At 33.5% G+C, this 14,837-nt stretch overlaps 1 long non-coding RNA gene across 2 annotated transcripts in view; it reads right to left on the bottom strand.

Moving 5' to 3' along the window:
* Positions 1-1,678: 1,678 nt before the first annotated feature.
* The window catches only part of LOC105369838 (uncharacterized), a 122,994-nt gene continuing 109,835 nt past the window's right edge, over positions 1,679-14,837 (bottom strand). For both annotated transcript variants that reach the window (XR_945088.2, XR_945089.2), the window contains one exon: positions 1,679-2,000. This is a non-coding gene — a long non-coding RNA (uncharacterized LOC105369838). The remainder of the gene's footprint in view (positions 2,001-14,837) is intronic.

The following is a 14,837-nucleotide window of genomic DNA, read 5'->3' as shown; positions in this document are numbered from 1 at the left end:
AATCACTTTCTGGGGTCTTCTCTCCATAAGAGGCTCCTATATACTTTATCTCTAGCCTATCTCATCATGATTCCACAACTGCAAAATTGAAGCTTATGAACAATAGCATTAAAATCCCCATTTTTACATTGTTTTAGATCTCCGTAGTTTTCTTACTTTCCTCTCAGTCTGGTGACTTTTTTTAAGACTTATTTTCTTATAGGAGTTTAAGGTTCCCAGCAAAATTGTTCAGAAAGTACAGACATTTTCCATATACCCTCTGTCTCCAAACATGGACAGATCCCTATCAACATCCCCGAACTAGTACATTTATTATAATTGATGAGCCTATATTGACATATGATAATCACCCAAAGTCCATACTTTACATTAAGGTTTACTTTGGGTGTTATATATTCTATGGGTTTGATTAAATATATAATGACATATATCCATCATTATATTAATAGTATTATATAGAGTATTGCCCTCAAAATCCTCTGTTCTCTGCCAATCTATCCCTCCTTCCCCATGAACTCCTGGAAACCACTGATCTTTTTACTGTCTTCAAAATTTTGCCTCTTCCAGAATATCATATAGTTAAAATGGTAAAGTATGTTGCCTTTAGAGATTGACTTCTTTCACTTAATCATATGCATGTAAGTTTCCTCTGTGTGTTTTCGTGCTTGATAGCTCATTTCTTTCAGCACTGCATAACGTTCCATTGTCTAGACATACCACAATTTATTTTTCCACTCACCCACTGAAAGACATTTTGGTTGCTACCAAGTTTTGGTAATTATGAATAAAGTTGCTATAAATATCGTATTAACCTTGTTTTTTTTAGTTGTTTTCAGGGATAGAGATAGAGTGACATAAATAATTCTATACTACCAAAAATGAAAACTTATAAAATTATTCATATTTTGCTTTTCCGAGGATGTATATCCTGAAAAAAAAATTGTGGACACATTAGAGCCAGTGAAGACCTGTCATATGGTAAACAAAATATTTATTTTGTGATCTTCAAAAACAGAATTAGAATTCACAAATTAAAAAAAAAAGCTTGAGGTTCATGTACACAATGCTTATAGTATTCTGTTTTCTATGAGATGAACAGATATAAGTAATAGAGTTTAATGTCAATTCAATACTAGGACAAACATTCAAAAAATCGGTTTAAAAATGGAGGCAGTAAACCTTCCACCGAAAATGTTTTAGAAAAGCTAAATAATTACTTTGTAATTTAATATAGAACAACATAATATTTGGTATTTGACTAGATTATAAATTATCTTTCACTCTAGTATGCAAAATTTATAAATCAATGATTTTTAAGTCATGTTAACTTAATAAAAAAACTAAAAAAAATGACTACTACTTCTCTTCAGGTTCACATGACCGAAATGTTTTCCAAGTTAATTTCATCATTACAGTCTGTAAATCAGGCATTTTTTCAGTTAAATGATTGTTAAGTAGAGTGATGTTTTCTAAATGTATCTTGATTCTGTTCAATGTGAAATTACTCTAGCAGACAAAAAATAAATCGAACTTTATTTTTGTTATATATTTCCAAATTCTCATGTGTTTCAACAATTGTCAAGTTAAAGATTTCCAGGTTTCCTTTTTGGTTTTGTTTTGATTTGTTTATTTTTTACTTCTAACTTATATATCAGAAAGAGTATGGTCAACAATTTAAAATAAAGGTACTTCAGTTGCATGATGTTAATATTGAATGTTTAGAGTTTGCTTATGTGGAGAAATTAGTATTCAGGTTTAATGACAGTATTGTAACAAATTGAACCAAAAATTATATCAAATTCTAAGTATAAATAAAGGCACAGCATCAAAAACTAGCCCAAATTTGCATGTGTATCTCTTAATAACCTTGCATATGAAATTGTCATTTTCTATAGAAGCTGCATAGCATTTGTTTCTTATAAACTTTTCATTTGTTTGCTTGCCTTTATGTTGTTGTGTTTCAGGAAATCCCATTTCATGTTTCTTGTCACAATGTGTTCCTAGAAAACAAGTTATAAAATAGTAGTGTTATAATTGCTTGTTGCGTTCCTGACCAAAAATTCAGCCTTGAATAAATCTTAGCCTGAAATAAAATGGCATAAAGGCAAAAACATAAAAAATACAAATCTGTAATTATTTAAATAATAAAAAATGCTCTGATAATGTAAAATAAACATAAATGTCATGTGCTTATTGATTATGGGGGGAAATCCTATAGCAATGTTAGATATGACTATTCTACTTTAAATTTTATCTAAAACTAGTAGCTTAGCTAGAAGAGGCATCAAGCATTTACTTAGGAGAGATTTTTCTTTATGTTCTTAAAATTTAGGATATGTGGGAGATGATGATCCTGGTATCTTTAGAAAGGTTTATAAGGGTCTCTGAACCATACTCTTATTTTTTCCCCCGAAATAAATTTCTCAGTGGCAGAAACTTTAAAAAAAAATCATTATTCTGACCTTGGAAGTAGAATTTAAGTAGTATATTTACTGCTTCTGGTTTTGTTTTACCCATAGAAAAGCATTTAAAACATGAGGTGCTATATTTTACCCATCTCCAGCAAGAAGGAAACAGTTTTATTCATCATCTTCAAGATTTATTTTATCTACTGAGTTTTCACAACACTCCCTGATTCAAATGCTTAAATGCTTATTGCCCTTTTTAGCATTTAACCTTCCCACCCAAAGTCAGTTCCATGTGTCTTTGAATAAACCAAGAAGAAAGGGGAGGTTGGAATGACTTTTTATTTTTTTAAGTAATGTCCTACCGGGATGAATTGATGACTTCATCATAGTGAAAGCTAAAGGGGTGAAGACTATATCCCAATAACGGTTAATATCTACTGAAAACTGTTAGGCATCAGAAACTGTGATAGGTACCATATGCACTTTATTTCCCACCCCCATGCCAACCTTTGCAAAATGTTTTTATTATTTCTCTTTTAAAGATAAATAAATCAGGGTGCAGAGAATTTAAATAATTTTTTCAAGATCATACACAAAATGAATGAAAAACTGGACTTTGAACTGAGTTAGGCTGTCTTCTAAAATCTGCACTCTTTCCCCTCCCACACTGACTTTTTCTAGGAACCTAGAAAGTGTTAGGAAAAATTATTTGGGGCTTAATACCAAGAAAAGCATATTTGATAGGTAATTTGTTTTCATGCAATTTCACAACATCTAATAAGTGGGTATTTTATGAACATCATGTTACGCTGATTGCATGCAGTATTCAAAAATCTTTAAGATGACATTGTATGTTCGATATGCTTATAGTATAGAAACTAAGTAAAGGAGCGTAATCTATCTGTGCCAATTCCATCCTAGTTTTGATGCATTTGTCAATTATATACATCCTGATTCTGCTTTCAGAATCAGATAAAACCAATAAAATGAAGATTGTTAATCTTTTTCTTCCTGTAACATAGCAAACAACCTTGCTAAGGTGATTTCCACATTCTGTTTTCCCATTGAAGAAATTTTCAGAGAATCATTAAATAGATGAGTTTAGCTTCAGCTGAAACTATCGCAAGGACAAAAAACCAAACACCGCATGTTCTCACTCATAGGTGGGAATTGAACAATGAGAACACGTGGACACAGGAAGGGGAACATCACACACCAGGGCCTGTTGTGGGGTGGGGGAAGGGGGGAGGGATAACATTAGGAGATATACCTAATGTTAAATGACGAGTTAATGGGTGCAGCACACCAACATGGCACATGCATACATATGTAACTAACCTGCACATTGTGCACACGTACCCTAAAACTTAAAGTATAATAAAAAATAAAATAAAATAAAAATTAAAAAATGATTTGATTTATTTTGCAACTAAACCACACAGTGTGGAGGGAGTAGATTTTTGTTACATGATGCCAACCCTTCATTCACCAACCTACATGGCTTAGGCAAATTCTACTAAGAATGTCTCTTGATGGGCATAATATTGAGTCACAGACACCACTGAGATTTCCCCCCGCTGAACTATAGCCACTAGATAAACTCCCAAAGTTAACTAGTCTCAGTCTAGAGATTTTAGACTTTAGCATTGTGTACTTGGATACTTTTAAAAACATTCTGGATGTTCCAACCAGCATTTTCATTCAAGTGTCTAACCAAAAAGCAAATCCAAAAGTTATATTTGTTGAGCTCTTTAACCCTAACCAAAGCAAATATAAAACTGTTTATTGAGGCACTAACTGAATTAGGTTTTGTGCTGGGCTTTTTTTAATATGTTTGGGGTTTCTTTCATAATTCAGCCAACTAGGTTAAGAAAGAATAAAAATCGAAATATGTCTCAACCAAACAGGTACAAAAACAGCATAAAATATTTTTCTAAACCAAACTTAAGCCAAACTGGTAATTAATTGAATTCAAGTTTGTGAGAGATAGGTGTGAGGAGAAGTATTGCATTGGCTTCACATATGGCATTGCAGTGACTTGAAGATACTCTTGTGATACTAAACATCAATAATGAATTTCAGCAACTCATACCTCAGGCACGGTTATGTCTGACTATCTCTTGATATTTTGCTAAAATGCTTTTCACTTGAATTTTTTTCACAGTTCAGAAAACCAAAATGAATTCTCTCTTCTCTCTCTCTCTCCCTCTCTCTTCTCTCTGTTCCTCTCTATCTCTCTCTCTCTCTCTCACACACACACACATGCACACACACGTGCACACATGATAGCTCCAAACGCATTGTTTAAGAAAAAACAAAACTTAAAAGTTACTGTGAGTTCTACTAGGTATGCATTTCTCACTGTCACTTTCAAGATCTTCTATAATATAGCTCTCTTGGTCTATTTTGTGTTGCTATAACAGAATATCTAAGACTGGGTAATTTATAAATAAAAGAGGTTTATTTGATTCATGATTCTGGTGGCTGGAAAGTCAAAGATTGGGCAGCTGCAACTGATGAGGGCTTCATGCTGCTTCCATTCTTGGCAAATGTAGAAGTCTGGGGTGGTGTGTGCAAAAAGATCACGTGGTGAAAGAGGTAGTAAGAAAGAGAAACCAAAGAAGCCAGACTCTTTTTAACAACTCTCTTGCTCTTACAGCAACAAATCCGTTTCCACAAGAGTGGGAACCCACTCACGCCTGAGGAAGGGCTTTAATCTATTCATAAGAGATCCAGACCTGTGACCTAAACATGTCATACTAGGCCTCACCCCCCAATACTGCCACAATGGGGATCAAATTTTAACACGAGTTTTGTTGAGGGCAAACCATATCTAAACCACAGAAATGGTCTTAATCTACCTTTACAACATTGCAACATAAATTTCTCCTCTAGAAATCCTGTTGCCACTAAATTGAAATAATTTACCGTAACCAGTTGTAACCAATTGTAACCAATTGAAATAATTTACTGTAATTGGCTAAAAGTAACCAATAACCTTCTATTCCTGTGGCTTGGTTAATACTGTTCTTATATTGGGAAATTCAGTTGTTAAGGCTTTGTTAAGCCAAATGTGGTCCATGGACTAAGGGCTTTGGCATCACCTGAAGGCTGATTGGAAACTTATCTCATGCCCACTCCAGATCGATTGAATCAAAATATTCATGTTAATAAGATCTTAGGTATGGCATATGTACATTAAGGTTTGAGCCATTTCAAATAATACTTTTTCTGTGACATCTGACTGATGTAATAGTTTCCTCTTTTGATCTTCATATTCAGAAATTAAGTCATCATTTTTAAGTCTATAAGTATTTATTAAGCTGCTACTATGTTTCAGGCAAAACTGAGGAGAGCTAGTGTTTAAACTGAGACTGGTTAACTTTTGAGAGCTTATCTGGTGGCTGTAGATCAGCAAGGAAATTCCAGTGGTGTCTGGGACTCAATATGTGTATTTCCATCAGGAAACATTCTCAGTAGAATTTTCCTAAGCCATGTAGGTTGGTGAATAAAGGGAACTTGGGGAGTTGACCTAACATAACAACAATCCACACCTTTCACCTTGTGTTATTTGCAAATCAAATTTTAAAAGATGAAAAGCTCTCATTTATAGATGAGGAGTTGTAAAAATGCAAATAGTTTGAACTATCTGAAGGGTGAATTATAGATGGGAAAACAGTAGAAAGTGGAAAAGGTAATCAGAGGCCTAATTATTCAACTGAAAAAATGATGATATATAATATATCCAAAAGTGTTAGATGCAAGGCAATAATTGCCTTTTATGGTAGATTATTTTTCCAGAGATTCAAAAAGGAATTGTGCAGTGCAACTAAAGTTAATATTAAGAAGACTAGATAGGAGGTTGCTATAAAAATTCGAATTAAGAAGATTAGAAATTTGAACTAGAGAGTAATGGTAGACATCTATTCATTCATTCAACAGGTATTTATTGAGATTCTTTGAAATGCAGTGAATTGCTACCAAGACAATCTAGATAGTAAAACTTGTTTCACAACTATTTCACTTAAAGTTACAAGTTTACTAGCTACATCACAGGTCTTCTACATTTTTATAGGAAATAGTTTTATCAAATTCTTTGTCATGTGTGGATCACCATATCTTCCAGACCCTTGTAATTGTTTGTCACCCACTGCCAGAATTCAAAGCCAATACCACATATGGCACATGTTTTATTAAAGCAACTGTCAGTTCTGGTGCCTATTTTTCTACAGAGGCCATCCATTCAGCTTATCAAGGTTCCCAACCCTGGGATTGCTCAGATTTCTCTCTGTTCCACAAACGCAGTTGCTGAGAGTTAGCCTGCCTTTGCAAGAGCTCTTCCAAGCAATGGCAAGAGGATAGTTTCTGAGTAATTCTCCCTTTATTCCATAAAGCATCCAGCATTATAAGTAGAAGATACTCAATATATTTTTGTTGAAGCAAGCCAACATACTCGTTATTGCATATTTCATTATTATACTCTTAGCTCCAAACAGGATACGTTTAACAGCTTTGTGTGTGTGTGCATATGTGTGCACATGTGTATGTGTGTGTGGGTTTATGTGGGGGTGTGATTATACCACTCTTCATTTGCTATTTTACTTTCACTATTTTAAAAACCGAACTTGAATTTCCAGTTCTGGTTCAGCATGAAGTTGACAGTTCATCCTAAGAATAAGTAAAAAGCTGAACAAACTGAAAAATTAACAACTGTTTTTATATCTGCAAGATAACTGAGGTTACAGGGCAAACCACTACCCCCAAATTGGAGTGACCTCTCATGTTCTGCATAATAAATATTACATACACACACACACATATACATGTAATACATAAAATATATAAATACAATGAACATACTAAGAAAGGAGAGAGAGTAGAATCTCATAAAATCCCCAATTAAATCCACAAAAAGCAAAAAAGTGTGAAAGAAAAAAATGGGAATGAAGACAAGGGCAATAAATAGAAAACCAAAACAAATATGGTAGATACTAATCCAACTATATCAATAATCACTGTAAATATCAATGGTCTATATACAAATTAAAAGACAAACATTGTCAGATTCTATCTAAAAGCAAGACCCAACTCTATGTAGTCTACAAGAAAGCTATTTAAATATAAAGACATATGTAGAAAAAAAGTAAATAAATGAAGAAAGCTATACCATGTAAACACTAATCAAAAGAAAGTGGGAATAGGTATTTATTTTCAGAGTTAGACATCAGATCAACAAAAATTATTAAGAATGCAGAGGGATATTACATGATGATAAAAGGGTTAAACCTCCAAAAAGACATAACAATTCTCAACCTGCATGTACCTACTAATAGAATGTCAAAATATGTGAGGCAAAAACTGGAAGAATTGCAAGAAGAAAGTGATAAAGCCACTATTACAGTTAGAGACTTCATTATCCCTCTGTCAGAAATGAACAAATCTAGTAGACAGAAAATTGGTAAGGACAAAATCGAACTCAACAACACATCAATAACTGGATATAATGGATGTATATAAACTACTCCATCCAACAAAGTATATAAACTACTTCATCCAACAAAAGCAGAATACACATTCTTTTCAAGCTCGCACGGAACATTCACAAGATAGACTACATTATGGGCAATAAAACATACGTACCTTAACAAACTTCAAAGAATAGAAATCATACAATATCTGCTCTCAGACAGCAATAGAGTTAAATTAGAAATTAATAACAGAATATCTGGAAAATATTAAACATAATTGGAGATATCAAACACGTTTTTAAAAAATATGAGTCAAAGAACTCTTAAAAACAATTTTAAAAATATATTTTAAACTAAATGAAAATAAAAACACAATTCATCAACATTTATGAAATGCAATTACAGCAGTGCTTACTCTTACCATATAACCCAGCAATGGGGCCCCTTGGTGTTTACCCAAAGATGTTGAAAACTTAGGTCCACACAAAAAATCCTTCACATGGATGCTTATAGCAGCTTTATTCTTACTTGCCAAAAATTTGAAGCAACTAAGATGTCCATTGATAGCTGAATGGATAAACTAGTATATCCAGATAATAGCATATTATTCAACACTAAACAGAAATGACCTATCAAGCCATAAAAATGGAGGCAATATAAACACGTTACTAAGTGAAAGAAAGGCAATATACTATATGATTCTAACAATATGGCATTCTGCAAGAGGCAAAACTATGGAGACAGTAAAAATGTTAGTGGTTGCCAGGAATTAGTGGAGGGGAGGAAAAAATTAACAGATGAAGCACAGAGTATTTTTAGGGAAGTGAAACTATTCTGTATGATAATATAATGATGGATACATGTCGTTATACATTTATCCAAACCCAGAGAATGTATGAAACCAAGAGTATATCCTCGTGTAAACTATGGACTTTGGGTGATAATGATGTAACAATGTAGGTTCATGAATTGTAACAAATGTACCACTCTAGTGGAGGATGTTGATACTGGGGGAGGTCATGTATTGTGGGAGCAGAATATATGCTTAATCTCTGTATCTTCTGCTCGGTTTTTGCTATGAACCTAAAACTGCTCTAAAAAGGAAAGTCTATTTAGAAAAAAATGAACTCAAGTGGTATTTACCATTGGATATTTAAAATAAATGGACAGTTGTTTGTTATAATGGTAAGTTATTATTTTCATGATGAACCTTCATACAGAAGCAAGTTCAAATATAATACATTCACTAGAGAATTATCTATACTTTTCACCAACTTTTATTATTCTGATACAATAATAACAACTATTATTTAACAAGTGCCTATATGTGCTGGTACATTTATACATTTAACTTAAAATTATTTTGTTATCTTAATAACTTCTATGAGGTGGTCATTAATATTATGCAGATGTTGACGATTAGAAAACTAAGAGATAAGACAAAAAAAAAAGTTGTCCACAGTCATATATTTTACAATTAGTAGAAACAATTTGATAACAGAAAGTTGATTCCTGAGCCTACTTATTCTTAAACACTATATAATTGATACGCTTTGGCTGTGTCCCCACCGAAATCTCATCTTGAGTTGTAACTCCCACAATTCCCATGTGTCATGGGAGGAACCTGGTGGGAGGTAATTGAATCATGGGGGTGGGGCTTTCCCGTGCAGTTCTCATGATAGTGAATAAGTCTCAGGAGATCGAATGGTTTTAAAAATAGGAGTTTCCCTGCACAAGCTTTCTCTTTTTGCCTGCTGCCATCCATGTAACGTGTGACTTGTTCCTCCTTGCCTTCTGTCATGATTGTGAGGTGTACCTAGCCATGTGTAAGTCCATTAAACCTCTTTTTCTTCCCAGTCTTGCTTATATCTTTATCAGCGGCATGTAAATGGACTAATACGATAATACTACCTCTATTTTATATTTTTTAATTTATATTTTTATAATTTTATTTATTTAAATTTGTGTTTTATTTCAATAGGTTTTTGGGGAACCAGTAGTATTTTGTTACAAGAATAAGTTATTTAGTAGTTATTTCTGAGATTCTGGTGCACCCATCAACCAAGCAGTGTACACTATACCCAAATTATGGTCTTTTATCCCTCACCCTCTCCCACTCTTTCCCCTGAGTCCCCAAAGTCCATTGTATCATTCTTATGCCTTTACATCCTCATACCTTAGCTCCCAATTATGAATGAGAACATATGATATTTGGTTTCCATTCCTGAGTTACTTCACTTAGAATAACAATCTCCAATCTCATCCAAGTTGCTGTGAATGTTTTTATTTAATTTCTTTTTATGGCTGAGTAGTATTCCATGGGGTATGTATACACACACACACACACACACACACACACGTATATAAGTATATATGTATATGTAGATATATACATATGTATTTATATAGGTATATATGCATGTGTATATATACTTTTTTGAATATATATATATATATATATATATACTTTTTTGAATAATGAATTTTTTCCTTTGGGTAGTGGGATTTCCTAGTAGTGGGATTTCTTCATCAAATGGTAGATCTATTTTTAGTTCTTTAAGGAATCTCCACAGTTTTCCATAGTGATTGTACTAGCTAACATTCCCACCAACAGTATAAAAGGGTTCCCTTTCACCACATCCTCACCAACATCTATTATTTTCTGATTTTTTTTTTATTATGGTCATTCTTGCAAGAGTGAGGTGGTATCACATTGTAGTTTTATTTGCATTTCCTTGATAATTAGTGATGTTGAGCATTTTCTCATATATTTGTTGGGCATTTGTGTATCTGCTTTTGAGAATTTTCTATTCATGTTCTTAGCCCACTTTTTGATGGAATTGTTTGCTTTTTTCTTGCTGATTTGTTTGAGTTGTTTAAAACCATAGCCAACATTATACTGAATGGGGAAAAGTTGAAAGCATTTCCCTGAGAACTGAAACAAGGCAAGGATGCCCACTTTCACCACTTTGATTCAACATGGTACTGGAAGTCCTAGCCAGAGCAATTAAACAAAAGAAAGAAATCAAGGGGATGCAAATTGGTAAAGAGGATGTCAAACTGTCACTGGTTACTGATGATATGATCATATGCCTAGAAAACCCTAATTACTCAATCAAAAAGCTCCTAGAACTGATATTTGAATTCAGCAAAGTTTCAGGATACAAAATTAATGTACAGAAATCAATAGTTCTGCCACACACCAACAATGACCAAACTGAGAAACAAATCAAGAATTCAATCCCTTTTACAAAGCTGAAAAAAAAAATAAAAAAATTAAACTTAGGAACACACTTAACCAAGGAAGTGAGACATCTACAAAGAAAACTACAAAACACTGCTGAATGAAATCATAGACAACACAGACAAATGGAAACAGATCCCATGCTCATAGATGGGTAGAATAAGTATTATGAAAATGACCAAATTGCCAAAAGTGATCTATAAATCAATGCAATTCCCATCAAAATACCAGCATCATTCTTCACAGAACTAGAAAAAACAATCCTAAAATTCATATGGAACCAAAAAAAGAACTCACATAGCCAAAGCAGAACTAAGAAAAAAAAAAACTGGAGACTTCACATTACCCAACATCAAACTATACTATAAGGCCATAGTTATCAAAACAGCATGGTACTGGTATAAAAATAGGCACATAGACCAATGGAACAGAACTCCAAAATAAAGCCAAATACTTAAAGCCAACTGATCTTTAACAAAGTGAACAAAAACATAAAGTAGGGAAAAAAGACACCCTATTCAACAAATAGTGCTAGGCTAATGGCAAGCCACCTGTAGAAGAATGAAACTGGATCCCCATCCCTAACCTTATACAAAAATCAACTCAAGATATATCAAAGACCTATCTCTAAGACATGAAGTGATAAAAATTCTAAATGATATCTTTGGAAAAACCTTTACAGACATTGGCTTAGGCAAAGACTTCATGACCAAGAACCCAAAAGCAAATGCAGCAAAAACAAAGATAAATACATGAAACTTAATTAAACTAAAAAGCTTCTACACAACAAAAGAAATAATTAACAGAGTTAACAGACAACCCACACTGTGGGAGAAAATCTTCACAATATTCTCTCTTTAAAACGTGAAAGCTTATCAAATGCTAAAATCAAGGCATAGAATTTGCACTGAACAAGAATGTACACTCTGAGTTGAGATTTCTCATTATTAGTACTATTGATATTTTAGACTAAACCTTATTGTAGGGGAGCTGTTCTGTGCATTTTAAGGTGCTTAGTGCATTTTAAGGCTTTTACCCAGTAGATTCCAGTAACACCCCCAACCTATGACAGTCAAAAATGTCTCCAGATATTTCCAAGTATGTCCTGGGAGGAAAAAAATCACTCTCTGTTAAGAACCTGTCATATTTTTTCCCAATTTAAATGAGAATGTATTGAGATTGTCATTAGTCTTTGATGCAGCTTCATATTAGGTATTGTTAGTTGATTTTGCTTCATCAAGATATAGCTCAAATTGAGAACCTTTTATTCTGGAAACTCCCTATCTTGTTTTCACATCAGGATGTCTTTTTAGGGGTGAAAGCTATTTTTAGAAGTTCTTTTCTGTCAGTCCCTTAATTCAATCTTTCATGATATCCATCAACTGACAAAAAATAAAAGACCACAATGAGCCATAATAATCCATGGAAAAAGATGTTTCAAGAAACCCCCCCTTCTCCTGAAGCTATTGCAAATGAGCCATTATGTGCAAGTTCTTAAGGAGTAGCTCTCAGGTAATAATGGTTTTTTTAAGTGAATTTCTGGTCTTACACATGAGAATGTAAGTAAATGTAATTGCTCTTCATCAGCTTATCAGATAGCTAGCTTTATACAGGATATGAACTATGTTAAGAAAGTTCCAAAACAATGTAAGATATTGTTAGTAACTTTTGTTTCCCTCAAATCACCATGATTTGAGAACCATGATGGCTGTGGCTACATTAGTGTACACTTGCAGCCATTTTCATTCTTTCTCTTGTAAGAATGTATCACATTATTATCACAATCAACTAACACTATTATAATCAACCACATCATCATCTGTGCACATATGGTCACATGAGGATGAGTGACAGGGGTAAGTGCAGATTCCATGGAGAATGAGACAATTTTCTCTAATAATTATTCTCATTCACAGGCCCTTTTATAAACTCCTAGGTTTGTGAACCAAAGCTTTGTGTTCAGCAAACTGTGGGAGGAAATGCTTATTAAATAGATCATGGGTAATTTTCCATTGGACATCTGAGTCACCTACCAAGATGTCATAAACATTAGACTGTGGAAAGCAGTTTCATGTGTTAGAAGTAAGATGTGACACTTTATATTCTAATCAGAATAAAGAAGCTCAAAGTTCCAAGTGGACATTTTACAGTATAGGTAGAAAAGTCCTGTACAAAGTATCCTTGTTTCCTAACAGTTTACTGTGCAGAGAACAGTAAGCTTTCTTTAAAAAGTCAACTTTTTAGGTATTTTTTTAGTTAACTTTTTCATAGTGTTCTTCTTCCTCTTATGTTCTTATGATTATTTCATAAACAGAAATAAATTAGTTCAATTGCTGTTTTGATTTTGACTAGTTTCAAATGAATATGTAAATTACCATTTTTATTATTTCTTCATACTTGAATTTGTCAAATACCTTGATATTTGGTTTTAATACCTTTATTAAGGTTAATAACAGTTTTCTTAATACATTTATTGTAGAAAATTAAATTTCAGTCATGGTGTCTGAACAATCAAAATATATTTTCATAGATAAAGTATGAGTCCTTCTATATTAGTTGTCTATTGCTATATAATACAACACCTCAAATTTCAGTGGCTTGTAATAACTATTTATATGGCTCATGAATCGGCAGGTTAATTTGACAGCTCTACTAATCTTAGTTTGGCTCACTCATGCATCTGCAGTCAGCTCATGGGTCAACTTGGAATTGGCTGGTCTAGCAAGGTCTAGGCTAAGGCAATACAGCTCTACTTCACATAGCCTCTTACTCTCTAGCATGCCAACGCAGCTTATTCACATTGCATTGGGTAGTGTTCCAAGATAGTGAACAGAAATGTTCAAGGCTCTTGAGGGCTAGGCTTGGAAATGGCATGTAACATCTGCTGCATTTTATTGGCCAAACCAAGTCCCAAGACCAGTCCAGATATAGGAAGAGGGGAAAGAGACTCCATCTCTTGGTGAGAGAAGCAACAAAGTCAGCAAAAAGGCATATATAGGAAGAAATGACTGTGGCCCTTTCTGCAATCAACCACACCTCTGTTAGTGACAACTTTGACATTTTGAATGTAAGCAAAATGAGCCTGTGTATTTACAACTATGTTGTCAACATGTGGTAGGTGTAGATTGATCCTGTTTAGCAATTAGATAACCCACTGTGAAGTTGATAAGACTGACAAGATTACAGATATAATATGGGAGATTGCCCTTTTTGTGGAAAGGGTTGAAAATTTCATGATTTATGTGAAAATCCTTTCTGTACTAATAAACATGACAGGAGAGACACAGTAACAGAGAAAAATTTGAGCAATGTCTTTCAAATTTAGGCCTATTTTGATGGAGTTCATGTGATGTAGTACCCTATGGATTATTATATTTTTTAAGTCAGTGGGGTCTCAGTACATAGACGGTATTTGAAGGAGATGAAAACGAGGCAGAATGTTCTGTTCTTTAATGTAGGAAAAATTGTAATGTGCACACCTTCCATTTCAATAGAAAAGCCCCATGCAAATGTAGTATTCCAAGCAGAACTAAGAGTCACTACAATACTGCCTAGTAATATTACTTCTAAAAAGCTATCATAATGCATAGCTGGATTTCAGCAGTCTTATTGCTCATGAATGTTCAAATTGCTGTGAAAACATATTTAGAATAATTACCTGTTTTAAGCTACAACAAAGATATTTTCTTTTTTCCTAGTTAACTATGGAAATATGTA

This window comes from Homo sapiens, chromosome 12 (genome assembly GCF_000001405.40).
Source record: "Homo sapiens chromosome 12, GRCh38.p14 Primary Assembly".
NCBI lineage: Eukaryota > Metazoa > Chordata > Mammalia > Primates > Hominidae > Homo > Homo sapiens.
This window is presented reverse-complemented; position numbering and strand designations above follow the sequence as displayed.